The sequence below is a fragment of the Homo sapiens genome, chromosome 16, assembly GCF_000001405.40.
Source record: "Homo sapiens chromosome 16, GRCh38.p14 Primary Assembly".
In the NCBI taxonomy this organism is placed as follows: Eukaryota; Metazoa; Chordata; class Mammalia; order Primates; family Hominidae; genus Homo; species Homo sapiens.
Genome location: NC_000016.10, coordinates 4,887,589 through 4,914,663, shown reverse-complemented (window position 1 = coordinate 4,914,663; position 27,075 = coordinate 4,887,589). Strand labels below are relative to the sequence as shown.

The 27,075-nt window shown below is 53.6% G+C and overlaps 1 protein-coding gene and 1 long non-coding RNA gene across 6 annotated transcripts in view, besides 1 other annotated feature; one reads left to right on the top strand and one right to left on the bottom strand.

Moving 5' to 3' along the window:
* The window catches only part of PPL (periplakin), a 54,642-nt gene that overhangs the window by 22,485 nt on the left and 5,082 nt on the right, over positions 1–27,075 (top strand). For 2 of the 4 annotated variants that reach the window (NM_002705.5, XM_006720902.5), the window contains exons 2-20: positions 3,715–3,814; positions 10,624–10,778; positions 12,138–12,258; positions 13,575–13,700; positions 13,793–13,834; positions 15,280–15,441; positions 15,544–15,651; positions 16,894–16,989; positions 18,948–19,070; positions 19,257–19,403; positions 20,046–20,197; positions 21,026–21,123; positions 21,294–21,451; positions 22,451–22,629; positions 22,715–22,853; positions 23,743–23,936; positions 24,330–24,480; positions 25,603–25,686; positions 26,446–26,562. In NM_002705.5, coding sequence (NP_002696.4) covers positions 3,715–3,814; positions 10,624–10,778; positions 12,138–12,258; positions 13,575–13,700; positions 13,793–13,834; positions 15,280–15,441; positions 15,544–15,651; positions 16,894–16,989; positions 18,948–19,070; positions 19,257–19,403; positions 20,046–20,197; positions 21,026–21,123; positions 21,294–21,451; positions 22,451–22,629; positions 22,715–22,853; positions 23,743–23,936; positions 24,330–24,480; positions 25,603–25,686; positions 26,446–26,562 — 2,452 coding nt within the window. Of the gene's footprint in view, positions 1–3,714; positions 3,815–10,623; positions 10,779–12,137; positions 12,259–13,574; positions 13,701–13,792; positions 13,835–15,279; positions 15,442–15,543; positions 15,652–16,893; positions 16,990–18,947; positions 19,071–19,256; positions 19,404–19,997; positions 20,198–21,025; positions 21,124–21,293; positions 21,452–22,450; positions 22,630–22,714; positions 22,854–23,742; positions 23,937–24,329; positions 24,481–25,602; positions 25,687–26,445; positions 26,563–27,075 lie in introns of all 4 variants that reach the window. The other 2 variants (XM_017023375.3, XM_017023374.3) reach the window with 1 other exon arrangement.
* On the bottom strand, positions 216–19,312 carry LOC124903637 (uncharacterized). Of its 2 annotated transcripts, none has more exons than XR_007064965.1 (3): positions 18,084–18,948; positions 2,133–2,213; positions 216–303 (listed from the first exon to the last, which is right to left on the bottom strand). It is a non-coding gene; the product is annotated as an uncharacterized LOC124903637 (long non-coding RNA). The 2 variants fall into 2 exon arrangements; XR_007064966.1 differs by lacking the exon at positions 216–303 and adding an exon at positions 19,230–19,312 and having other exon boundaries at positions 1,781–2,213; positions 18,084–18,135.
* Positions 18,561–19,406: an enhancer, noted in NCBI's record as "H3K4me1 hESC enhancer chr16:4945259-4946104 (GRCh37/hg19 assembly coordinates)". NCBI's record gives its function as "activates a minimal SCP1, AML or CMV promoter by ChIP-STARR-seq in naive H9 embryonic stem cells {active_cell/tissue: H9 hESC(naive)}" and the evidence as "EXISTENCE:reporter gene assay evidence [ECO:0000049][PMID:30033119]".

The following is a 27,075-nucleotide window of genomic DNA, read 5'->3' as shown; positions in this document are numbered from 1 at the left end:
AAGTGCCTTGACCAAGGAAGAATAAGACTTGTAAGAGTTGGGTTCCTGGGACCCCACTTTGGGACAGGCTGCCCCCAGTTGACCTTGCAGAAGGTATGGCTTGGGTCCTGTTCCCTCAAGATCCCCCAGCTCCGGTGTATCCAGGTCTGCCACAAAGCTGGCCCTTAAGCAAGGTGTGGAACCTAGACGGATGGATCCCCAGCATGTTGGCTGCTGCCATTTCTGCCCCCAATGCCCCCAACATCAACAGCACCTGCATTGCTGGTCCATGACTCCGGTAGGTGTCCAGGTACCCTGGGGAACCTGCAAAAATAGTAATAATAATACAGCTTCCTGGGCCCAGCTCTGGAGACCTGGGTTCAGCAGGTCTGGGTTAGTGGCCGGGAATCTGAATTTTTCATGCTAGGCCCCAGAACCTTGATCTGGGGAGCATCACTCGAAAGGGCTGGTGGTCCCCTCTGCCTTGACGGTCAAGAACCCCGCCCTGGCCCACCCCACGGGACGTGCCAGGACCTGCCTCTCTCTATGGCGTGTCCTCATTGGAGCCTTCTGCACAGGAACACCAAATTCTTCCTTTTGCTTTAGCACCCAGCCGACACCACCTCCTCCAGGAAGCCTTCAGTGACCACCGCTGTCCCCACCCAGCCAGTCCAGAGGTTCCCCTGGGCATCCCCAGCCTCCAGGCCTGCCTCAGTCTCGTGACTGTTTCTATAAATACTGATTTCCTCCTGGTCTGTGGGGTGGATCAGGGAGGGAGAGGCTTGTCTTTGTGAGGTGCAGGGCCCGCACACAGCAGGTGCTTAATGAGTGTGAGTAGAAGGCAACTTCTGCGTGCCTAGCCACTCAGGCCCCACTGTGGGTCTTCAGTGGAGACAGGGGAGCTATCATCGCTGGCTAACTGGGTGACAATGGCCAAGTTGGTTTCCCTTTCTTTCTTTGTTTAAAGAAAACAACAGAAGGAGGCTGGGCATGGTGGCTCACACCTGTAATCCCAGCTACTCAAAAGGCTGAGGCAGCCGAATCACTTGACCCCAAGAAGTGGAGGTTGCAGCGAGCCAAGATGATACCACTGCACTTCCAGCCTGGGTGACAGAGTGAGACTCGGTCTCAAAACCACAGAGGCAGAGCTGGGTGATCTCTAAGGCTCCTTGACAACTAAAATCACAAACCTTTGTTCAGACTTATTCTGTGCCCGGCTCTATGCACAGTCCTTTGGTAGTGTAACCTCACTTCCATTCATAACCCCTGCCACCCTGGCCCCGGGAAAGGACTGTTACTCTAGTCCATCGGATTGGGAGACAGAGGCACAGATAGGCAAGGGAGCTGGGCCAAGTCACACAGCCACTAAGTGGCTGATGGGAGCCAAGATCTGAACCCACAGCTAACCCCAGGGCCAAAGTCTTAACTAACTCCCATTAGAGCATTTTCCAGAGTGGTCTGTCTGTGGTTCTGGGGGACGGGGGGCAGTAGACAAATGTGACAGGAGGGGACACAGAGACAGTGAGGGAGAGGGCCAGTCTGCTTTCAAGACTTTTTTTTCTTTTCTTGTTTTTTTTTTTCGAGATGGAGTCTCGCTCTGTTACCCAGGCTGGAGTGCAGTGGTGCAATCTCAGCTCACTGCCACCTCCACCTCCCAGGTTCAAGCAGTTCTCCTGCCTCAGCCTCCCGAGTAGCTGGGACTACAGGCGCATGCCACCACACCTAGCTAATTTTTGTATTTTTAGTAGAGATGGGGTTTCACCATGTTGGCCAGGCTGGTCTCAAACTCCTGATCTCAGGTGATTCGCCCGCCTTGGCCTCCCAAAGTGCTGGGATTACAGGTATGAGCCACCACACCGGGCCTCAAGTCTCTTTCAGGCGCTCTGAGAAGATCAGGAGAAAGGCTGGGCCTGACGCCACCACGGCTGTCACACCTCCTGACTTGTAACAGCGGGCAGCCCAGTGTCACCACGGAACCCAGTGCCACTGCGTTCCCATGAAATTTATTTTGGCAGCTAATTCACTCATGGTGAGGGCTTCTGATTTCTGATTAAAATGGGGAGAGAAGTTACCTTTGTAAACACATTTAACTCTAAAATAAAACGAGTAGGTTGAAAGAAAAATATCAGGTAATTAAAAATAAGACTGCTCACACAAAAGCTTGTTCCCGAACGTTCATAGCAGCGTGATTCTCACGATGGCCCAAAGGTGGAAACGGCCCAGATGGTTGTCAGCTGTTGAATGAATAAGCAAAATGTGAAGTAGCCACGTGATGGAATATTATTCAGCCATAAAAAGAATGAAGTTCTAATAGATGCTGCAATATGCACAAAGCTTGAAAACATTATGCTGAGAGAAGGCAGACGCAAAAGGCCACGTGTTGTGTGATTCTATTTATATGAAATGTCCAGAATAGGCAAATCCATAGAGAGAAAAAGTAAATTCCTGGTTGCCAGGGGCTGGAGCGGGTGGGGAATAGGGAGTGACAGCTTGTGGGTGTGGAGCTTTGGGGTGATAAAAATGTCTGGAATGAGATAGTGGTGATGGTTGCACGATTCTGAATGTGTAGTACTAAAAGCCAGTGACTGTGTATTTTAAACAGGTGAATTTTACGGTATGTGAGTTATCTCCCAATTTTTCAAATATGGTGCGTTTTGCCAACATGGCAAAATAGAAGCATTAGAAGCTGGGTGTGCTGGTGGTGCCAGTGGTCCCAGCTACTCAGGAGGTGGAGGTAGGAGGATTGCTTGAGCTCAGGAGTTCGAGGCTATAGTGAACTATGATCACGCCACTGCACTCCAGTCTGGGTGACAGAGTGAGACCCTATCTCTCACAAAAAAATATGTAGTCGGGGCCTGGTGGCTGACATCTGTAATCCCAGCACTTTGGGAGTCCAAGGTGGACGAATTGCTTGAGCTCAGGAGTTCGAGACCAGCCTGGGTGACATGGTGAAACCCCTTCTCTACCAAAAGAAATGTAAAAGTTATGCAGGAGTGGTGGCATGTGCCTGTAGTCCCAGCTACTTGGGAGGCTGGGCTAGGAGGATTGCTTGAGCCTGGGAGATAGAGGCTGCAGTGAGCCATGACTGTGCCGCTACACCCCAGCCTGGGCAAGAGTGTGAGACTCCGTCTCAATAAAATGAATGAATGAATGAATGAATGAACGAATGAATGAATAAAAATAAAAAATAGAAGCATTAGAGAGAATGATCAAAGTGGAGGCTGGGCGGGCGCGGTGGCTCACGCCTGTAATCCCAGCACTTTGGGAGGCCAAGATAGGTGGATCACTTGAGGTCAGGAGTTCAAGACCAGCCTGGCCAACATGGTGGAACCCCATCTCCACTAAAAATACAAAAATTAGCCAGGCTTGGTGGTGCATGCTTGTAATCTCAGCTACTGGGGAGGCTGAGGCATGAGAATCATTTGAACCCAGGAAGTGGAGGTTGCAGTAAGCTGAGATCACGCCACTGCACTTTAGCCTGGGTGACAGAGCAAGACTCCATCTCAAAAAAAAAAAAAAAAAAAAAAAGGAGGCTGACCGCCTGCCAGGCGCTGCCTTGTCTCTGTGGCTTTAGTGATGTTGCCCTATGGGAACAGCCCAACTACCTCAAAGGCTCTGTGGGCAGCTCCTGCTCAGAGCGTGGGGCCGGGGCCAGCCAGAGGATGGGGTGCTGGTGGGGACATAGCCCCCACCCACCAGGCACCCCGCCCATCTCCCCTCGGCTTCTGCCCGCAGCATCTCTAACAAGGAGCTCTCGGAGCTGATCGAGCAGCTGCAGAAGAATGCCGACCAGGTGGAGAAGAACATCGTGGACACAGAGGCCAAGATGCAGAGTGTGAGTGCCCCCACTCCCACTCCCACCTGGGTGCCCCGTGCTGCCAGCCCTGTTCAGGACCAGGATCTGTTTGGAATCGGTGATTCTCACCCAGGGGTGATTGTGGCCCCGAGGGAACATGCAGAGACATTTTGGTTGTCACTGCTTGGAAGGAAGGTCCTCCTGGCGTCCAGTTGGGGAGGGGAGACAGGGATGCTGCTGAACACCCTACCGTGCACTGTAGGGCAGGGGTGCCAAGGTCAGGAAGCCCTGCTCTGTGAGAGGAACCTGGCCATTGTCGTTAATACTAGTACCTCCCGGATACTAAGTTCCTCCCTCTTCCTGGGCCCTGTGGAAAGCGTCTCCTGCCTGGAGGAGTGCCATGGGGTCAGGCTCTATGGAAACAGCCCAGCCTTGTCCTTGCTGGGTGACCTTGGACAAGTGAGCCATCCCACCTCCCCATGAACGAGATTCTCTCTAAGCAGGCAGGAGTGATGGTTCCCATTTGGCGGGGTGGTTGTAAAGATTAAATGAGATTATGCAGGTATAGGACAGGGCTATTATCGTCAATATCATTCTCACTGCTCATCCTACTGCTGCCAGCACTCAGGGTGCAGGTCTTTCTCCACCTTTTTTGGAGAAGAGAGATAAAATAGCTGGGCAAATCACTTTCCCCTATCTGTGCCTCAGTTTCCCTTTCTGTAACATGGGGATAACAACTGCCCAGTGGACTCAACGGCATGAAGCCTCTGTACCCTGAGGGACTCACGAGCCGCTGGAATGGTCACCTTCTCTTTAAACCTTCCACCAGCGCCAGCCCGGTGCGATTGGGTTGATGCCTGTTTTGTACCCTGGAGCAACTGAGGTTTAGAAGGGGCTGGGATGATGAGTCAGTGACAGAGATGGTGCCAGCATCGGCCTGCAGGTGGAGTTACCAGATTTAGCAAATAAAATATGAGATGCCCAGTTACATTTGAATTTCAGAACACAAATCATGTTTTAGTAGCAGGAAAGCCCATGTGTTATTAGGGAAAGGCTTATGCTAAAACATTATTTATTGTTTATCTGAAAATCAAGTGTAAGTGGTGATCTGTATTTCATCTGGCATCCCTATGCAGGGGCGACTAAGAAGTGGGACCAGGCCAGGTGCGTAATGGCTCACACGGCCGTAATCCCAGTACTTTGGGAGGCCGAGGTGGGTAGATCACTTGAGGTCGGGAGTTTGAGACCAGACTGGCCAATGTGGTGAAACCTCATCTCTACTAAAAATACAACAATTAGCTGGGCGTGGTGGTGCACACCTATAATCCCAGCTACTCAGGAGGCTGAGGCAGGAGAATCGCTTGAACCCGGGAGGCGGAGGTTGCAGTGAGCCAAGATCGTGCCACTGCGCTCCAGCCTGGGCAACAGAGTAAGACTGTCTCAAAAAAAAAAAAAAAAAAAAAAGGTGGGACCAGAGGAGTGGGAGGCTGAGGGTGGGGAGGTCAGGAGGGAGGTCAAGGTCTACCCGGCCAAGCTGCTGTCCCCAGGCCCAGCCATAGGTATCCAACCCCCTTGGCTGCTCCTGATGGCCCAGTTGCCCACCCTCTGAAGGCCTGTCCACAGCAGCCAAGAGACCCAAGCGGGTAGGTGGGCTGGGGTGGGCACAGTCCACGGGGGTGTAGGGGGCAGATAAGTGGAGACTCTGTTCTCTGCCACCAGCTATCCCCTGCAGGGGCCCCAGGAGTGGGCCTTGCCCTGGCCTCCTGCCTGGGGCCCCCGCCTCCATGCCCCCCTGGGCCTCCACCTCCTGCCTCCCTGGCCTCTGCCTGGCCACCCCACACCTGTTCCCTCCCATCAGCTCCCCTTGTCATTTGCAGTTACATCCTCTGCCATCTGAGGCCCCCTGTGGTGGTGGATTTCTTTCCTTCTTAAATGGAAAACATCTTTTGGGGGTGTGTCTCTTTTTTCCTCATAACAAAAATAATATGTGTTCATCACACACATTTCACGATGGATAAACAAGCATAACAAAGTGAATTAAAATCATGAGCCGGGTGCGGTGGCTCGCGCCTGTAATCTCAGCACTTTGGGAGGCCTAGGCAGGCAGATCACCTGAGCCCAGGAGTTTCAGACAAGCCTGAGCAACATGGTGAAACCTCGTCTCTACAAAAAATATGAAAAATTTGCCAGGTGTGGTGGTGTGTGTGCCTGTAATCCCAGCTCCTTGGGAGGCTGAGGTGGGAGGCTCGCTTAAGCCCGGAAGGTTGAGGCTGCAGTGAGCAGAGATGACACCACTGCACTCCAGCCTGGGCAGCAGAGGGACACCCTGCCTCAATCAATCAATCAATCAATAAAGTCAGTCATGTAGAATTCCACCACCAGAGGTATCTACTGACTATTAACATATTGGTGTATATCTGTTTGACCTTTGTGTATGTGTGTGAGAGAGAGAGAGAGAGAGAGAGAAAGAAGGAAGAGGGTTTAACCTTCTCATTTTATTTCCCTGAAGTATTGACTCAAAATAGGTAATTTTGAACCATTTTTATTTTATTTTTTTGCAGAGACAGAGGTCCTTGCTATGTTGTCCAGGCTGGTCTTGAACTCCTGGCCTCAAGCCATCCTCCTGCCTCAGCTTCCCAAAGTGCTGGGATTTACAGGCATGAGCCACTGTGTGCTTGGCCTGAACAATTTTTTCTTTCTTTCTTTCTTTTTTTTTTTTTTTTTTTGGAGACAGTCTCTCACTCTGTTGTCCAGGCTGGAGTGCAGTGGTGCTATCTCGGCTCACTGCAACCTCCACCTCCCGGGTTCAAGTGATTCTTCTGCCTCAGCCTCCCAAGTAGCTGGGACCACAGGCAGGCACCACCACGCCCAGCTAATTTATTTATTTATTTATTTTCAGTAGAGATGGGGTTTCATCACATTGGCCAGGCTGGTCTCAAACTCCTGACCTTGTGATCTGCCCACCTCGGCCTCCCAAAGTGCTGGGATTACAGGTGTGAGCCACTGCACCCGGCCTATTTTTTTAACTTCAACTGAACCCACTTGAAAAAAGAAGCTAGGCTTTGAAGACTACATGGATCACACAATCTTTTTCTTATGTTCTTTTTGCTAAAGATACTACTATTTATTTCATTTCCCAGTTCTGTTGAATTTTCCATTTTTTTTAATTGAGGGGAGATTCACATAACATAAAATTAACCATGTAATGTGTACAAGTCAGTGGCATTTCATACATTCACAATGTTACACAACCATCTCCTCGATCTAGTTCCCAAACATTTCCCTTACCCCAGAGCCAAACCCCACACCCTTAACAGTTACTCCCCACCTCCCCTTTCCCCCTGGCAGCAACTAATCTGCTTTCTCTCTGTGGATTTATTTATTCTGGATATTTCACATAAACAGAATCATACACTGCATCACACATTTATTCAAATGCTAAACATGCAGAAAACCGTACAGCGAACACCCATATCCCACCACCTGATCCTACAAGGAACGTCTGCTGAATTGGCTTTATCATGTATCTGTCCGTGTGTGTGTGTGTGTGTGTGTGTGTGTGTGTGTGTGTGTGTGTGTGAGATTAGATATATCAGTCCCTATAATTTTTTATTTTTATTTTTTATTGAGACAGGGTCTTGCTCTGTCACCCAGGCTGGAGTGCAGTGGCGCAATCACGACTCACTGAAGCCTCAACCTCCTGGGCTCAAGCAATCCTCCCACCTCAACCTCCCAAGTAGCTGGGACTACAGGCGCATGCTACTATGCCTGGCTCATTTTTGTATTTTTTTTTTTTTTTTTTTTTTTTTAGAGATAGGGTCTCACTATATTGCCCGGGCTGGTCTCCAACTCCTGAGCTCAAGCAATCCTCCCGCCTGGGCCTCGCAGAGTGCTGGGATTATAGGCGTGAGCCACTGCACCTGGCCCCTGTGACTTTAAAAAACTTTTTTATCAAGGTATAACTTATATAAACTCTAGAGAAGTGTCTACATTCGCAGACTTCACCTGGGTGAATTTTTGCATCAATAGGTACCCAGATAACCACTGTCTGTGGCAAGATGGGTAACTGTCTAGAAAGCTCCCGGGCCATCTCCCTAGTTGATATCCCTCAGGGGTCAACCCTATGCTGATCTCTCTCACCATCGATCAGTTCTGCCCGACTTTGAACTTTCGAACACTAGCCTCCCTCAGCTAGATGTTCTCTTTCTCTCTCAGCCAGTGTTTTGAGAGAACTTGCATTCCCACCGGGCACCTTCACGAATTAGGCAATGATTAATGGACTTCCTCCTTTTGCAAAATTAATCTTTGATCTGCAGCTCAGGGAAGCTGGTGATAATGGAGTGAATAAAATTCTACTCCAAGCAGGCCGGGCGCGGTGGCTCACGCCTGTAATCCCAGAACTTTGGGAGGCCGAGGCGGGTGGATCACGAGGTCAGGAGATCGAGACCATCCTGGCTAACACGGTGAAACCCCGTCTCTACTAAAAATACAAAAAAATTATCCAGGCATGGTGGTGGGCGCCTGCAGTCCCAGTTACTTGGGAGGCTGAGGCAGGATAATGGTGTGAATCCGGGAGGCAGAGCTTGCAGTGAGCCGAGATCGTGCCACTGCACTCCAGCCTGGGCAACAGAGTGAGACTCCATCTCAAAAATAAAAAAACAAAAAAAATTTAAAAATTCCACTCCAAGTCAAGAAGCTGATGTTTTGTTGTAATTAACGGGCCAGCCTACCCCAGGGTTGGGGGATGCCTGGTTCCATTGGCTTTTTGGATTGGTTGGTTTGAGGTAGGGTCTCGCTCTGTCGCCAAGGCTGGAGTGCAGTGGTGCAATCTTAGCTCATTGCAGCCTTGAACTCCTGGACTCAAATGATTCTCCTGCCCCAGCGTCCTGAGTAGCTAGGACTATAGGTGCATGCCATCACACCCAGCTACCTTTTAAAAATATTTTTTAATAAATGGGGTCTCACTATATTGCCCAGGCTGGTCTTGCACTCCTGGGCTCAAGCCATCCTCCTGCCACAGCCCCCCAAAGTGTTAAGATTACAGATATGAGCCACTGTGCCTGGCCTCCAGCGGCTTTTCGGGACATCAGCCTCATCTCCAACCCCCTGGGGAGTCAGGCCTGTTCACCCTTCAGCCCTTCCAGACTTAGCCAGGCAAAGGCACTCTTGACACATTTTCTTCCTCCAAGAAGAAGCCAAGTCTTTACTTCGTACCAGGCACCACGTCACCCCTGTGTATTTCTCGTTTTTCTTCCTTTTGCTTTTTCTTTTTAAAAAACAACTGTATGGAGACATATTTCACTTAAAAAAGGCTCCCACTGCAAGTGTACAAGTCAATGATTTTGAGTAACTTTAGCAAGGGGCAGAACCACGCCCATGAATCAGTTTCAGAATATTTTCATCCCGTGCAAGATCTCTTGTGCCTATTTACTGTTAATGCCTCTTCCCAGCCCTGCCCCAGGCAACCACTTAAGAGACAGTGACTTTCCATCTCTCTGGACTTGCCTGTTCGGGACACTTCACATCAATGGATCCCACACCATGTGGGCTCTGTCTGGCTTCTTTGCCTTTGAATAACGTCTTCCAGGCTTGTTCAGATGGAGCACGGTCCGTAGTTCCTGCTCTTTGTTGCTAAGTGGTATTTCTCAGTTCACTTCATAAGCGGGTATTTTCCTTATGCCCATTATAGAGATGGGAATGCTGAGACCCAGCTAGGGGAAGGGACCGGCGGCCGGCTCTGAGTGCCCCAGCGTCAGCCAACCTGCACTCATTCCCCTCAGTGACATGTCACTGCCTCCCCTGCGGGACTGGGGATCCCTCAGGGATTCATCCCCAGGACCTAGCATGGTGTAGACTCACAGCCAGACTTCTTGAATATTGACACAGTGAATTAACCCGCTGTGATTAGAAACCTACTGTCCCGGCTGCCATTCATTGCTCTTCCCTAAACGAACAGAAGCCCTGTACTCATCAGCAACCATCGACGGCCCCTTCCAGATATCCCCCCGGCTCTGTTCCTTCTTGCTGGTGCCACCTCGCTGTCACCTGGCTGCTGCCACAGACCACTGCCTGCCCTCCCAGCCCACACCCTTGCTGTCCTCTCTGCAGAGCCCCTGGAGGCATCGCCTTTAAGCACAAATGGAGCTGTGCAGGATCCCTCCTTGCAGCCATTGTGTGTTCTAGCTGCTCACCCTCCCCGCCCCCCGCCTGCCCTGTTTCCTCCCTATCCACAGAGACCTTTTCACTATGGCCCAGTCGTAGCTCGCTCTCTCCTGCCTCAGGACCTTTGCACAGGCTGTTCCTGTGGCTGGAACACTGTCCCTTTCATCCTTTGTTCTTAGCTTGTGTCTCCACCACGAAGAGGCTTCCCTGACCACCAGAGCTGAAGTAGGTCCCCTCGTTCCACCTCTGGAGCATTTCTTTCATAAACACTGACTTGGAGGGACTTGCAGTCACCTCCATGAGGCTCATCCTTTGACTGGCCTTCCTGGTGGCCTTGCAGACTGGGTTGTGAGTGCCAGGCAGGGAGGCCATGTCTCTTCTGTTCACAGCTGTGTCCCAACTCCTTGCATACAGTAGGTACTTGAGCTCTGTTTGCTGAGTGGCTGGAGGACAGGCTGGAGGGGGCATAAGAGAAATACCTGCTTTGCAAAGTGAACTTGAGAAATACCACGTAGCAGCAAAGAGATGGAACTACCGACTGCGCTCCATATGGACAAGCCTGGAAGACGTTATTCAAAGGGAAAGAAGGGGAGCACCCTGCTGACCCCTTTCCTCCCACCCCTCCCATTGCCACCGTGCCCGCTCTCGGCTCCTGTTCATTGTCCCCTCTCTTGTGACCCTCACAGGACCTGGCTCGGCTGCAGGAGGGTCGGCAGCCTGAGCACCGGGACGTGACCCTGCAGAAGGTGTTGGACTCTGAGAAGCTGCTCTATGTGCTAGAGGCGGATGCGGCCATTGCCAAGCACATGAAGCACCCACAGGGGGACATGATCGCCGAGGAGTAGGTCCCTTCTGCTTCTTACCCCAGGGGAGCCATTGGGGGCTATGGGCCAGGGCGGGGGGTCCTGTTCAGCATTTGGGAGCCCGAGTCAGGGGTTATCAAGGGCTAATTAGGTGCCAGGCACGTGCCAAAGGCTTCACATGATCCTTTCTTTTTTTTTTTTTTGAGACGTAGTTTTGCTCTTGTTGCCCAGGCTGGAGTGCAATGGCATGATCTTGGCTCAGCGCAATCTCTGCCTCCCCAGTTCAAGCTATTCTCATGCCTCAGCCTCCCAAGTAGCTGGAATTACAGGCATGCACCACCATGCCCGGCTAATTTTTGTATTTTTAGTAGAGACAGGGTTTCTCCATGTTGGCCAGGCTGGTCTCAAACTCCAGACCTTAGGTGATCCGCCTGCCTCGACCTCCCAAAGTGCTGGGATTACACAAAGTGCTGGGATTACACATGTGAGCCACCGCGCCCAGCCTCACATGATCCTCTTGATGACCCTATTTTGCAGTTGGGGAAATGGAGGCTTAGGGAGTTGATATCCCTTGTTCTGGAGCCACCAGCCTGACCTGTGAGCTTTTGAGCGAGCTCTTCCGCTGCCTGGTGCCCTGTCCCTGGCTTCCTTGGCTCACGACTCCCAGTTCATTTTATCGTGGATGAATCAGCCCCCCTGACTCCTGCCTTGTCCCATGCCCTATCTCCACCCCGGCAAGGGCAGGGCTCTCTCGGTGCCCCACGACCCTTGGCACTTGTCCTTGGCATGGCATGCACCACACTGTGGGCCCTGCTGGATGGCAGACTCCAGAAAACAAGATCTTTCCTGCTTATTCCAGAACTTTCTATCATTCTGGCACATAGTAGGCCCTCAGGAAACTGATGGGGGAAGGAAGGTTGAGGGAAAGTGGGTGGGGCCAGGCACGGTGGCTCACGCCTGTGATCCCAGCACTTCGGGAGGCCGAAGCGGACGGATCACCTGAGGTCAGGAGTTCGAGACCAGCCTGACCAACATGGTGAAACCCCGTCTCTACTGAAAATACAAAATTACCCAGGCGAGGTGGCACATGCCTGTAATCCCAGCTACTCGGGAGGTTGAGGCAGGAGAATTGCTTGAACCTGGGAGGCGGAGGCTGCCATGAGCTGAGATGACGTCACTGTACTCCAGCCTGGGTGACAGAGCAAGACTCTGTCTCAAAAAAAAAAAAAAAGTGCATGGGAGGAGGGGTGAGAGGATGCTGTGATTGTCTGGAACCCAAGGCCATATGGTCACTGTGTCCTTCCAGGACACTGAGGCCGGGGTCTGGGTGGGGGGCCCCTCCTGGGGTGCAGGCAGTGCCAACCAGCCCCACTAAGTGGGAGCCTCTCTCCCATCAGTATCCGCCAGCTGAAGGAGCGTGTGACCAACCTGCGCGGGAAACACAAGCAGATCTACAGGCTGGCGGTGAAGGAAGTGGATCCACAGGTCAACTGGGCGGCACTGGTGGAGGAGAAGCTGGTATGGCCTGGACGGGGCCGCTGGCTCCAGGGTTTCAGCTGGGGAGGGGGCTGTGCGTGTGCAGGGAGAGCCTACCCATGTAATGGGCATCCCGGGTCTTACCAGGGAGACAGTCGTGGTCCTGATGGTTTTCCAGTGTGCCCATGAGAAGAGTGAGGCTCAGAGAAGTGCAGCACGAAGTCAGGGTCACACAGCTCAAGCGGTGGAGATTCGGACTCTGTCCCCTGTCAGCCACACCTCGCTGCTGCTCCTGGGTCCCACTTTCCAACCCTGGCATGTTGGGGTCTTGGTGACATTTTGTGGGCAGGCTGGGGCGGAAGCGGCCAGGCTTCTGGCCTGTCGCTCCCTTTCCTGGGTGCTCACCACAGAGAAGCACACAGCCACTGCAGCTAGGTGTCCCGGGTTCAAGCCTTAGCTTCCCCAGTTTTATTTATTTATTTATTTATTTATTTATTTATTTATTTTTGAGACAAGGTCTCACTCTGTCGCGCAGACTAGAGTGCAGTGGCATGATCATGGCTCACTGCAGCGTCAACTTCCCAGGCTTAGGTGATCCTCCCACCTCAGCCTCCCAAGTAGCTGGAATTACAGGTGCACGCCATCATACCTGGCTAATATTTTGTATTTTTATAGAGACGGGGCTTTGCCACATTGGCCAGGCTGGTCTCAAACTCCTGAGCTTCCCCAGTTTTATTATTTATTTATTTATTTATTTTTGACACAAGGTCTCACTCTGTCTCCCAGGCTGGAATGCAGTGGCATGATCACGGCTCACTGCAGCCTCAACTTCCCAGGCTTAGGTGATCCTCCCACCTCAGCCTCTCAAGTAGCTGGGATTACAGGTGCATGCCACCACACCTGGCTAATTTTTTGTATTTTTGTAGAGATGGGGCTTTGCTACATTGGCCAGGCTGGTCTCAAACTCCTGGGCTCAAGCGATCCGACCCCATTGGCCTCCCAAAGTGCCTGGATGACAGGCATCAGTCACCATGCCTGGCCAGCTTTCCCAATGTTACTGGCGTGACCCTGGGCAGGTGACTGGCCCTCATTCAGCCTCAGCCTCTGTGTCCTCATCTGAGAGATGGGACAGTAACCATGTGGACCCCTGAGGCTCTGTGAGATGAAAGATGATATAGGTCAGTGCTCAGCAAACAGAACCTCAGGGTTGAAGGTGTGGCCAGCATCTCCTTGTGGCTCTGCAGGGCCCCGTGAAAAAGAGAGCACCATCATGCCCACCCCCGAGGCTCCTGGGGTGGCCACACGTCCCCAGCCCTCAGCCCACCCTCTCCTTATTGCTTCTCTGCCCTCCTGGCCAGGACAAGCTGAACAACCAGAGCTTTGGGACTGACCTGCCGCTGGTGGACCACCAAGTGGAGGAGCATAACATCTTCCACAATGAGGTCAAGGCCATCGGGCCCCACCTGGCCAAGGACGGGGACAAGGTGGGGCGTGTGCTGGTGTGGTGGGGACCCAGGGATGGAGGGGGCCGCGCCTGCTTCCTGGCCCTGACCCATGCCCTCGGCTCTGTCCTCAGGAGCAGAACAGCGAACTCCGGGCCAAGTACCAGAAACTGCTGGTGAGGAGCTCCCTGGGGGAAAGGCCTCATGGGGAGAGGAGAGGATGGGAAGCTTGGAGTCGGGGGGACAAGGATGTATTGTTTTAAAAATGACATAGGCAGCTGGGCATGGTGGCTCACGCCTAGCACTTTGGGAGGCAGAGGCAGGAGGATCACTTGAGCCCACGAGTTTGAGACCAACCTGGGCAACATAGTGAGACTCCAGCTCTACAAAACATTTAAAAATTAGCTGGGCTTGGTGGCATGCCTGTGGTCCCAGCTACTTGGGAGGCTGAAGTGGGAGGATCGCTTGAGCCCAGGAGGTGGAGGCTGCAATGAGCTGTGATCGTGCCACTCCACTCCAGCCTGGGAAACAGAGCAAAACCCTGCCTTTAAAAAAAAAAAAAAAAAAAAAAGGCGTGCAGTAAACGTTTCAATCAGGAGAGGGGTTGAGGCGGGAAGAGAGGTGCCCCAGCCTTTTCCTGAGCGGCTGCAAGGTCTGCCCTGGTTGTTCAGGGAAAACCCTAACAGGCCCCAGGGGTACAGCCTGTCCTGCTCATTTCTTTATTATCTGCTGTGTGCCAAGTATGATGCCACTTGCTTTCTATACAAAAGCTTTCCATTTTCCTTCCCAAACCTTTAAAGAATGCATTCTTTTAAAAATTGCATAAGTGTTATGCAAACGCTTCCTTGTTGCCAATGTTTCAGACAGAGAATACAGAGGCAGCATTGTGTCGCTATAAGGAGCCATGCTTCCTCTGCTCCTTAGTGTTAGTGGTGACACCTTGAGCGAGTTACTTAGCCTCCGGGAGCCTCAGTTTCCTCATCTGAGAAATGGAGCTCCTACATGTTCCTGTCTCATAGGGTCGCTTTGAGGATGAAATGAGTCAATGTTGCAGAAGTTCATCAGGCGTGGAGGGCCCCACGTACCAAAATGCAAACATCCCTCCTTTCCCTTGCACACCCGCTTCTCAGACGTACAGTGGTGCTTTCCTTCCAGCCCTCTATAAGACGATCATGATACAGATAAAAGTAGAAGCTATAGTTACTGATATTTGTTGAGCACCAACTATATGCCAGTCTCTGTACGCTGTGAGGTCAGGACTGTCATCTTCCCCATTTACAGATGGGCGAACTAAGCCTTCACAAAAATGTCAGTTCCGTAAGGGTTTTGTGTGTTTCGTTTGCTGTATCCCCAGTGTCTGGAGCCATGTCCAGCATGTAGTAGATGCTCAGTAAACATTTACTGAATGAATGAATGAATGAATGAATGAGTTTCAGGGGTTCAGGTGACTTGTCTAAGGGGGACTGGCCTGGACGTGGCTAAGCTGGGCTTGTCCTCAGGCCACCCATAGCTGGGCTTGTCCTCAGGCCAGCCATAGCTGGGCCCTGCAGGAGGTAGGGAAGGAAGCGAGCAGTGGCAGCGGGCTGAGGACGCAGCCCTTTCCTTGCCCCGGCCCCTTCAGGCAGCATCACAGGCCCGGCAGCAGCACCTGAGTTCGCTGCAGGACTACATGCAGCGCTGCACCAATGAGCTGTACTGGCTGGACCAGCAGGCCAAGGGCCGCATGCAGTACGACTGGAGTGACCGCAACCTCGACTACCCCAGCCGCCGGCGCCAGTATGAGGTGGGTTCTGGGGGCCTGGGGCATCAGGGAGGAGGCAGCCCTGGAAGGAGCACGGGACCGCCAGGCTGGGCACTGAGGCCCCTCCACTGCCCCCCACTGCAGAATTTCATCAACCGGAACCTGGAGGCCAAAGAGGAGAGAATCAACAAACTGCACAGCGAGGGCGACCAGCTGCTGGCGGCCGAGCACCCCGGGAGGAACTCCATTGAGGTTCATGCACCCCGAGACCAGACACCTCCCCCAGGGTGGCTTCTGGTTGGCCGCTGCCTGTGGGCCGCCTGGAGCTCGGGCAGACCCCGGAGCTGGGGGTCCTGCAAGCTGCATCTTGTGTCTGTCTGTCTCTTTCTTGCTGTGTCTGACTCTGCCTCCTCCATTTATCCTGATCCGTTGACACTTCTGCCCTCAGCCCCTGGACTTCTGAAGCCCCTGTGGGGTCTGTATTAGTTTCCTAGAGTTGCTGCAACAAGTTAAAACAAACTTAGTGGCTTTAAACAACAGAAATTCATTCTCTCAGAGGTCTGTGGGCTGTAAGTCTGAAATCAAGGTGTCTTAGGGCCTCATTCCCTCTGGAAGCTCCAGGACATGTGCCTTCCTTGCTCTTCCGGCTTCTGGGGGTTGCCAACAGCCCTTGGCTTGTGGCTGCATCATTCCAGTCCCTTCCTCCGTCTTCACATGGCCTTCTCTCCCCATGTCTCTCTGTATCCTCTCTTCTTATAAGGATATCAGTCAGTGGATTTAGGGCTCACCCTAATTTCAGGATCCTTAACTAATGACATCTGCAAAGATCTTATTCCCAAATAAGGTCGCATTCTTCCCAACCCCCACAATGCCACCAACCCCGCCTGAGATGGAGTTTCGCTGTTGTTGCCCAGGCTGGAGTGCGATGGTGTAATCTTGGCTCACTGCAACCTCCACCTCCCGGGTTCAAGCAATTCTCCTGCCTCAGCCTCCCAAGTAGCTGGGACTACAGGCGCACACCATCATGCCCAGCTAATTTTTGTATTTTTAGTAGAGACAGGGTCTCATCATGTGGGCCAGGCTAGTCTCAAACTCCTGACCTCAGGTGATCCACCCGCCTCGGCCTCCCAAAGTGCTGCGATTACAGGTGTGAGCCACCATGCCTGGCCAGGGTCATGGATTTGGTGGGACACTGTTCGGTCCATGACAGTGCCTTTGTACAGATTTGCCGAAGGCACCACAGCCCCCACTTGCCCTTTGTGCACTGCACAGCCTGGGCATCCGTATGTGGCATCCCTGTTTGGCTCCTTGACGTGACCCCTCTCTCCTCCTCCCACTCCTGAGCAGAAGCTGGCTACCCCTGTGGTAGCCACACCCAGACAGATGCCAGATGCCTCCCTCCCCCGCCATGCCCCAGCCCAATATCCCAGCAGTCCCTCCCTTGGTGTCTGCAGTACCTGCCCAGTGGTGACCGGCCCCTTCTCTTCCTGGCAGGCGCACATGGAGGCTGTGCACGCAGACTGGAAGGAGTACCTGAACCTGCTCATCTGCGAGGAGAGCCACCTCAAGTACATGGAGGACTACCACCAGGTACTTACCTTTCCTGGGAGTCCCCCCAGCACCGGGGGTGCTACTCTCTGAGAGCGCTCAGTGCCTACCTGGCTCATGTGTGGCCTCGTGCTCCTTGGTCCAGGAGCCTTGCGGGGCAGCCATCCCAGGCCCCCAGCACCCATGCTTCTGATGGCGTGTGCAGACATGTCCCAAGCTTGCCGGCCCCTGTCCAACTTCCCTGGGGACCAGGGCCAGAGTCTGATTCCCCAGGTCACATGGGGCCCAGGGTGAGTGTGTAGGGTTTTAATTTTGGTAAAATCTATAATATACATGCAGATACATAAAACAAAATTTGCCTTTTTTTTTTTTTTTTTTTTTTTTGAGAGAGTCTTGCCCTGTCACCCAGGCTGGAGTGCAGTCGTGCCATCTCGGCTCACTACAACCTCCACCTCCTGGGTTCAAGTGATTCTCCTGCCTCAGCCTCCTGAACAGCTGGGATTACAAGTGCCCACCACCACACCCAGCTAATTTTTGTATTTTCAGTAAAGATGGGGTTTCGCCATGTTGGTCAGGCTGGTCTCGAACTCCTGACCTCAGGTGATCCTCCCGCCTCGGCCTCCTAAAGTGTTGGGATTACAGGTGTGAGCCACCACACCCGGCCAGTTTGCATTTTTAAGTGTACAATTCAGTGGCATTCATTGCATTCGCAATGTTATGCAACCATCACCACCATCTACTTGCAAAACTTTCCATCACCCCAAACAGAAACCCTATACCCTGGCTGGGCACGGTAGCTCATGTCTGTAATTCCAGCACTCTGGGAAGCCGAGGCGACTGGATCACCTGAGGTCAGGAGTTCAAGACCAGCCTGGCCAACATGATGAAACCCCATCTCTACTAAAATACAAAAGTTAGCCAGGTGTGGTGGCCCATATCTGTAGTCCCAGATGGGAGGCTGAGGCAGGAGAACTGCTTGAACCCAGGAGGCAGAGGTTGCAGTGAGCTGAGATCGCGCCATTGCACTCCAGCCTGGGCGACAGAGTGAGTCTCCGCCTCAAAAAAAAAAAAAAAAAACAACCCCGTACTCATTAGGCAGTAAGTTTTCCATTCCCACTCCCCCAGCCCCAGGTCACCTTTGGTCTTCTTGCTGTCTCTATGGACTTGCCTGTTCCAGAAGTGTCACACCTAGAACGAATATGAAGAATCAGTGGGATCATGCAATCTCTGCCCTTTTGTGTCTGGCTTCTCTCACTGAGCATCATGTTTTCCGGGTTCATCCGTGTTGTAGCATTTTCAGTGCTTCACCCCTTTTTATGGCTGAATCATATCCTATTGTATGGCTAGACCACTGTGTTTATCCACTCATCTGTGGCTGGACACTTGTCTGTTTCCAGAGGAATGAGAGTTCTTAAGAAGCTGCGGGTAATTCTTAGGATTGAGGTGTCTGGGGAAAGCTGGATGTGGGCGACGCCGTGTCACTCCTCATTCCCTGTCTGAGCCGCACAGTGGGGGCTTCAGGTCCTGTTTATGGCTGCAGCCCAGGTGCTCAGCCCAGGGGATAGCTGACAGTGAACCAAGAGTTGATAGACTGAAGAATGGGCAAGAGAATTTTCGAGAACAAAAAGGGGAGGCTATTATCAAAACCTAGAAAGAAGCTATAGTATTAAGTCTGGATGTTCCTAGTACAGAGAGAGGAACTGAATCAAAGACACCTCAAGACTTACTGATACATCCAAGAAAACATGTCACAGAGGTGGCATCTCATGGATGGGTGGGAAGGGACCTGGCTTTTCCCAGTGAGGCCCCTAAGGAGCCAGCTCAGGGAGGGTGGGGCTGTCTCCACGCAGAGGAGCCTCAGGCTCAGCACAGGGTCCCATGCTGGACTCCAGGTGAACCGGAGGCCCAGCCCCGCCTGAGGGATGAGCTTGAAGCCTCCGACAGAAGCCCAGGTGCTTCTAGTGGTTTCCTGGCTGTAACAGAGCCACCTTCTCCCCTAGTTTCACGAAGACGTGAAGGACGCTCAGGAGCTGCTGCGCAAGGTGGACTCGGACCTGAACCAGAAGTATGGCCCTGACTTCAAGGACCGGTACCAGATTGAGCTGCTGCTGCGGGAGCTGGATGTGAGCGATGGCCCAGGACCCCTGCTGGCCCGGGGGGCGGGGGACCCCTCTACACCATGCCTGCCCTCAGCCCTGTACAGGCCCCTCCACAGCACCCCACCTGCTGAATCCAGCCCCTGCTCTGCGTCCTCCCACCAGGGGGAAGGCTGTTGGTCTCACCTGGGCCCCTGACCCCGTTCTCTCCAGGACCAGGAGAAGGTGCTGGACAAGTATGAGGACGTGGTGCAGGGGCTGCAGAAGCGAGGCCAGCAGGTGGTGCCCCTCAAGTACCGCCGGGAGACTCCGCTCAAGCCCATCCCCGTGGAGGCACTCTGTGACTTTGAGGGGGAGCAGGTGCGTGGGGCCAGCTCCTCTGTTCACATCACTACAAAGTTTTTGGGGTAACATGGTTGGATCCCGGGCCTCAGGCGCCGTTCTCAGGAGCCTGTGCCTGTCTCCGTGGTTGGTGTCACTCTGCCAACCCTTCCCCTGGTGCAGGCCAACTGGCACCCCTATGCCGCCCCCACCTCGGCTGCCCTGGCCTTGTGTTCCACCAGCTTAGCAACCCCAGTCCCTCCTCAGAAGTCCCAGGCCAGGTTCTCATTGGCTCACTGTGAGTCACGTGTCCATCCTACACCAATCACTGTGGCCAGGGAATGCCAGGGTCCACCCTATACCAATGACTGTGGCTGGCGAATGCCAGTCATTGGCCAGGTCCAAGTCACATGTCCATCTGGAGCTTGGGAATGGAGAAGGAGAGACCACAGGGACTGGGAATTGGGAGGGAAGGTTCCCCAAAGGGAAATGGAGGTGGGTTGCTGGGCCGGCAGCCTCAACACATGTGCTTCTCCTGCATGCCCCTCCCCACTCTACGGGGAGGGTCCAAGTGATGAGCCGGGGCTCCCCAGGTCCAAGAGTCGGGGGCTGAGATGGCAACCGGGCTCCCAGGCCCTCAGGCCCTGCCGGGATCCTGACTGTCCAGCCTGCCCCCGCCAGGGCCTGATCTCGCGGGGCTACAGCTACACCCTGCAGAAGAACAACGGGGAGAGCTGGGAGCTCATGGACAGCGCTGGGAACAAGCTGATTGCTCCGGCCGTGTGTTTTGTGATCCCCCCCACAGACCCTGAGGCCCTGGCTCTGGCTGACAGGTACAAGGGCAAAGGCGGGAGTCTGCATGGACCAGTCCCACCCCCAGGGCTTCTCAGGCCCCATTCATAGCCCCGGGGATTTGGACTCAGCCTGTGGGGAGCGCGGGGTCGCTGACACTCTCCATCTGCACCCCCTTGGAAGTTCATGCAGGAGAGGGGCAGATTGTGGGCCAGCTGACTTGCTAAACATGAATGTCTAGCTCTGGGCTTCGTCCTGGCCCCCTCACGAGTTTCTAAGCAGTTTCTAAGGGCCCCTGACTCCCGCACGCACTGCTCCCTGTACTTGCAGACCCCAGCCCCTTGGCTGGAGGACTCAGCTGGGATAAGGGCTGCCTCCTCTTTGCTCCCAGGCACCTTCTTCCACTGCACGCACCGCTTTTTATTAAGTGACTAGCGTATGCGTCAGTCTCATTGGGCCTGGGCTCCTTGAATTTCCTCTCTCCAGGGCCTAGTTAAGTACCTGGTACAAAGTAGGTGCCCAGGAACTCCTTGCTGAATGAGTGGATCATTCAAGGAATGCCTTCATTTATTAAGTATTTATTGAGCACCTACTGTGTATGCTCCCTCAGAAGTAACATCTTGGTGGTGATTATTGGACAGACAATTTTAGGTAGTGAGACTTCCTACGAAAGAGGAGGGAAGGAGGGAGAAGAGCTCTGAGCCCAGGAGCACAGAAAGGCCAGTGCCACAGTGAGCACTTGCTGTCCGCATCTAAGGAGCTGTCAGGCTCCTCTGGGGTGTCTGCCCAGCCAGAGTCCGCAGTCCCGCCTCTGTGGGTGCAGGGGGTGGTGGGCTGCCCAGGTTCCCAGCTCATTTCTGTCCTCACAGCCTGGGCAGCCAGTACCGGAGCGTGCGGCAGAAGGCAGCTGGGAGCAAACGCACGCTGCAGCAGCGGTATGAGGTGCTGAAGACCGAGAATCCCGGAGGTGGGTGCCAGGGCCACTCGCCTGAGGCTCTGGGGGTACCGGGGAGGAGGGGCTGGACCAGGGTCTGTGCTGTGGATGAGACGGCGGGGGGCTGGCTGCCTAGGTCCATCCCTGGGCCTCACACCCCTGGCCCGTTGTCACACCTGCCTGTGTCCTCCCTCCCTCCACAGATGCCTCTGACCTACAGGGGCGGCAGCTGCTGGCTGGCTTGGACAAGGTGGCCAGCGACCTGGACCGGCAGGAGAAGGCCATCACAGGGATCCTGCGGCCACCACTGGAGCAAGGCCGGGCTGTGCAGGACAGTGCCGAGCGGGCCAAGGACCTCAAGGTACCTGCGGGTCAGGAGCACAGGTGGGGCCGGGGGAGCCCTGCACTGGCCCCCTGGGGCCCCTATTTGAGGTCTTTTCCCCATGGAGTCTTGGGATATTCACTGCAGCTGTCTGTCAGGGACAGCCTGCTGCATGTAAAAGGGTCCCAAGTCATGGAGGTGGCAGGGCTGCTGTCATTACCTCCCCAGGAGAAAGAGCTGGCAGGACTTGCATTGTTCCTGCACGGCTTGTCGATCTGACGCCTGGCATGGCACATGGGCTGTGGAATTCCGCAGGACTGGGTCACCGGCTGGCTTGACTGCAAACACGTTAGCGTTTGTATTTATAAACTCCAGGCCTCAGTGTCTTCAGTAGGATGGGTTGGCCCTGCTCACAGGGCAGTGGCGAGGACAGGGTGAGCTGATGCCAGGGGGGACGTGGAGGGGCCACCTCCCCCCACCTCCTTTCCTATACAAAGTCTCCCACATCCTCAAGGCAGCCCTCTGAGGCAGTGAGTAGCACTCCAATTTTACAGAAGAGGATCTGGGATTGGAGAAGTGCCATAGCCCCTGATGGGGCCTCAGAGTGAGAGCCAAGTCAGGGCGAGAGGATGCCGGTCTCGGGTGTAGCCTGACCCCACAAGTCCCTTCCTAAGCTGCTGGGAGTCGTCACACCCCCACCCGTGACTGGGTGGAGTCGTAGTACTCACCTCCCGGGGTTGCCGCAAAGATTAAACAGAAGCGTCCGCGTGCAGTGCTGAGGACAGCACAGGCCCGGCAGCTGCCTGGGTGCTTCTGGTGTCACTAGTCCATTCCACCTCAGCGGTTCCCTGGGATGCTCGTGAAAAATACAGCCCTCAGGCTGGGGTCCAGATGCCGGGTCAGAGCCCCAGAATGTGCCAGGCCTCTCCAGCTGCTTCCACTGTGCCTGATGTGGGAATCTGTGCTCACCCTGGGCACATCCTCAGGGGAAGGGGCTGCCTGGCTGTGTCCAAAACTGAGGGGCCCTGGTTCCCACAGAACATCACCAACGAGCTACTGCGGATTGAACCTGAGAAGACGCGGAGCACGGCTGAGGGCGAAGCCTTCATCCAGGCCCTCCCAGGCAGTGGCACCACACCCCTGCTGAGGACCCGGGTGGAGGACACCAACCGGAAATACGAGCACCTCCTGCAGCTGCTGGACTTGGCCCAGGAGAAGTGGGTGGCAGACAGGCAGCATGGAGGTTGGGGTGGGGTCAGGGGGCCAGGTGGGCATCCCCCGACGCCTGATTGGTGCTCTCAGGGTTGATGTGGCCAACCGCCTGGAGAAGAGCCTGCAGCAGAGCTGGGAGTTGCTGGCCACACACGAGAACCATCTGAATCAGGATGACACAGTGCCTGAGAGCAGCCGTGTCCTGGACAGCAAGGGGCAGGAGCTGGCGGTGAGTCTAGGGCCCAAGTCCTGGGAGTCCTTCTCTGAGCAGGTGAGAGCATCTGGCACATCCACCCGCCCGTCTGGATAGATGAGGACACCAGCATCCAGTCTCCCCAGGTTTGGAATGCCCAAATTGGGAACTGCAAATGGAGGCCCACAGCACAAATCCAAGCTATTCACGGGATCTGTGTGACTTACGGGATTTCGGGTGCCAGCATTTTAAGATCAAATATCTGCAATAGCCAGTGTAGTGGCACATGCCTGTAACACCAGCCATTCAGGAGGCTGGGGCAGGATTGCTTGAGCCTTGGAGTTTAAGTCCAGCCGCCTGGACAACGTTGCAAGACCCTATCTCTTAAAAAAAAAAAAAAAAAAAAAAAAGCATAAAGCACATAACAATCCATGTTCCCAGTATCTCTTGCTGAGCAGAGCTGGCATCCTGGGCTGCAGCTCAGAGGGCAAGTCAGTGGGCAGAGGAGCAGCTGCCTTCTCGGCCTGCTTACCTCGCAGTTGCCACGGGCCCCCTTCCCACACTGCCTGAGCACAGGAAACATTCAAGTCTGTGACCTGAGGCCCCTTATTCACACTCCCATCTCACGACTTGCTTTTGCCACAGCCTCATGACCAGACAGTGGCAGGCTGTTCTCGCGCAGGGCACGAGCTGCCTGCTGCAGGGTTTTTAGAAGTTAGCTTTTCAGGGCTTTGTTCATTGTTAAAAAACAGAAGATGGCAGAAGTGACCCAGGTTTGGGATGTACAGAGCAAGGCTCCGGTCCTTCCTACCTGTGGCCTTGCCCACCCTCCTACAGTCAGTGGCCCAGGGGCTTCAGTGGGTGTCATCGCCTGGCTCTGGGAGCTCTGGCCGTAGCACCGCCGTCTCCTCCTCTGCCCCGCCAGGCCATGGCCTGTGAGTTACAGGCCCAGAAGTCCCTCCTGGGTGAGGTGGAGCAGAACTTGCAGGCGGCCAAGCAGTGCTCGAGCACACTGGCCAGCCGCTTCCAGGAGCACTGTCCGGACCTGGAGCGCCAGGAGGCCGAGGTGCACAAGCTGGGCCAGCGTTTCAACAACCTGCGCCAGCAGGTGGAACGCAGGTGAGGGTGCGGTGGGTGGTGGCCATTTTTGTTTTCTGAGAATGCGATCTAATTCCCTCTAAGCAATGCTTTAGCCGTGTCCCACAGATTTTGCTGTTTTTCTTTTTGGTGAGTTCGTCAGATTCTCTGACGGCCCTGTGGTCTCTCTTTTGAGTCATGCTTACCTGGGTCCTGTAATCCACAATGGGCATCTCTGCAAGTCAATGTATATGGACCCACCTGGTTCTCCACAGTCCAACCTGACGTTCCCTAATGACCACCCACCCTGTGTGGGAGATACTTGGGGTATTTCTGGTTGTTACATTTGGTTGTTTCCCACTTTAAAAAAAAAAATGAGGGCTCGGTGAGGCATCTGTTTGCTGTGGCTGAGGCCTGAACGCTTTGCCTTGACAGGGCGCAGAGCCTACAGAGCGCCAAGGCAGCCTACGAGCACTTCCACCGCGGCCATGACCACGTGCTGCAGTTCCTAGTCAGCATCCCCAGTTACGAGCCCCAGGAGACAGACAGCCTCAGCCAGATGGAGACCAAGCTGAAGAACCAGAAGGTGAGATGGCCGTTTCCGCAGCCCCAGGCACACACTGGCAAGGGAGGGTCAGAGGTCAACAAGCCCCTTTCTGGGGAGCCAAGCCTTTGGGAGGTGGAGCAGGGCAGAGGCCTGCCACAGCTGTGTCCTCCCTGGGCCTCAGCTCAAGCTCCCAACACCCAACCCTCTGAGAACAAGAACCGAGTGTGTCGCTCACCTCTCCCAGCTCAGTGCCCCGCACAGGGCCTGGTGCAGAATGGACACTTGGCGTGGGTTGGCTATGTGAGTGAACAGCTACAGAATGAGGAGCCGCCTTTGTGGGGGAAATCCCATTTTCAAAGTTGGGACTCCTGCCTCCCCCATGCCCAACGCAGTGCCTTGGGGTGAGGGAGGAACACGGGAAGCCAATGGCTGAGATGCAAATCCCGGGTCCACCCCATCAGCCACATCCCCACCTCAGAAGCTTTCCTCACTCATAAGCTGGAGGTCACGATGCTTACCTCCTGGCATCGTTTGAAGATTAAATGAGATAATCTAAGTCAGACAGCAGAACAGTGTCTGGTGGTCCAAATCATCAGTAAACATTTGTTTCCTAGCAGAGATAATGATCTTGGCCCTTCTTCACAGAGCCTTAGAACTGCCTTTTGTGGCTGGGCGCGGTGGCTCACACCTGTAATCCCGGCATTTTGGGAGGCTGAGGCAGGAGGATCACAAGTTCAGGAGTTCAAGACCAGCCTGGCCAACATAATGAAACCAAATCTCTACTAAAAATACAAAAAAAAATTAGCTGGGTATGGTGGCAGGAGCCTGTAGTCCCAGCTACTTGGGAGGCTGAGGCAGGAGAATTGCTTGAACCCAGGAGGCTAAGGCTGCAGTGAGCTGAGATCGCGCCACTGTACTCCAGCCTGGGCGATGCAGTGAGACTGTCTCAAAAAAAAAAAAAAAAAAAAAAAAAAAAAAAAACAACAACAACAAAAAAACTGCCTTTTGCAATGAATAAAAATGTATACAAGGGAGCCATTCATCATACTTTGTGCTAGAGAAGAATAAATTCAGATTCTGAGATTTCCAGCTACTGCATCCATGGTTGCTTTTTTAAATTTTTTTTCTGGTTAGTTTTGATTTTTAAACTCTGTCTTACAGAACCTGCTAGATGAGATAGCAAGTAGGGAGCAGGAAGTACAGAAGATCTGTGCCAATTCCCAGCAGTACCAGCAAGCTGTAAAGGTGAGCCGGGAAACTTCCGCCCAAAGCACAAACAGCAGGGGTCTTATTCCACCGTGCCCTGGTCAGAGAAGCAGCAAGCACCGGCCCTGGCACATGGGGGTGGAGCTGGCCATCCGAGGCACTGCCGGCTGCTGTGCAAACTGGCACAGGCTTTTGGGAAAACAGCATGGTACTAGACATGGAATGCTGTAAAAGGGTTTTATACTCTGAAGCAGTAAACACTTTGGGGGAATTTATCCTTAAGGAAAAAGTACAAAAAAAAAAATGCAGGATAAACAACATTGTTGCAACAGCACTATTTACAATAGCAAAACTAGTACGCTGGAAAGGACTGGTGTCCAGTGGAAGGGGAAAGCTGCGTGAATCAGCACACATCCACCTGATGGATTATAAAGTCAGCAAGCTGGTAAACATGAGAAGAGGTGGTGGCAAGGTGAGACAGGGTTATGGTACGATGTTAAAAGCAGCAGCAGAATGTGAAAATCTCTAGGCATGTAGAAAGGCTGGGAGGGGAATTCAGGGGGCACTTCTTGTCTCATATGTTACTGAGTGATGGAGCTATGTACTGCTGAGATATCAGTAATTCTCAAAACCTCCTGGAAATCACTGCAGGGTGCAGCTGTGAGGAAGACCCACGCAGATTATAAAACCAGCACATGGCACAGGGCAGGTCTGGGTCAGCCTGAAGGGGTACAGGAACATGTCTGTCTCTTCTCAGCTGTTTTAATCTCCCCTCTGCCATGTCTCTCCCTCATGCAGGACTATGAGTTAGAAGCAGAAAAACTAAGGTCTCTTCTCGACTTGGAGAATGGAAGGAGAAGCCACGTGAGCAAGAGAGCCAGGCTCCAATCTCCTGCCACCAAAGTGAAGGAAGAGGTGAGTTCCATGGGCCAGGCGGCCTCGGGACTGAGGTGGAGGCCAAGCTGCCCTGCTCCCCAGGGAGCATGGTGTCACACGCTGGCCTCAGAGATGCACACACAACAGGGAAGCCACTGAGAGCCCTCCTGCATGCAAACAGGTTTGGTAAGAGATGAGGAACTTGTTCTAGGGCAGTGACATCAATATGCCTAGAAAGACAGCAAGGCCGGGCGCAGTGGCTCACACCTGTAATCCTAGCACTTTGGGAGGCCGAGGTGGGAGAACTGCTTGAGCCCAGGGGTTGGAGACCAGCCTGGGCAACAAAGCAGGACCCCATATCTACAAAAATATTAGCCAGGCGTGGTGGTGCAAACCTGTAGTCCCAGCTACTTGGGAGGTTGAGGAGGGAGGATCACTTGGGCCCAGGAGTTCAAGGCTGCAGTGAGCTACAATCACACCATGGCACTTCAGTCTGAGTGAAAGAGATTCTGTCTTTAAGAAATAAAAATTTTTGAAAATGCAGCTGAACAG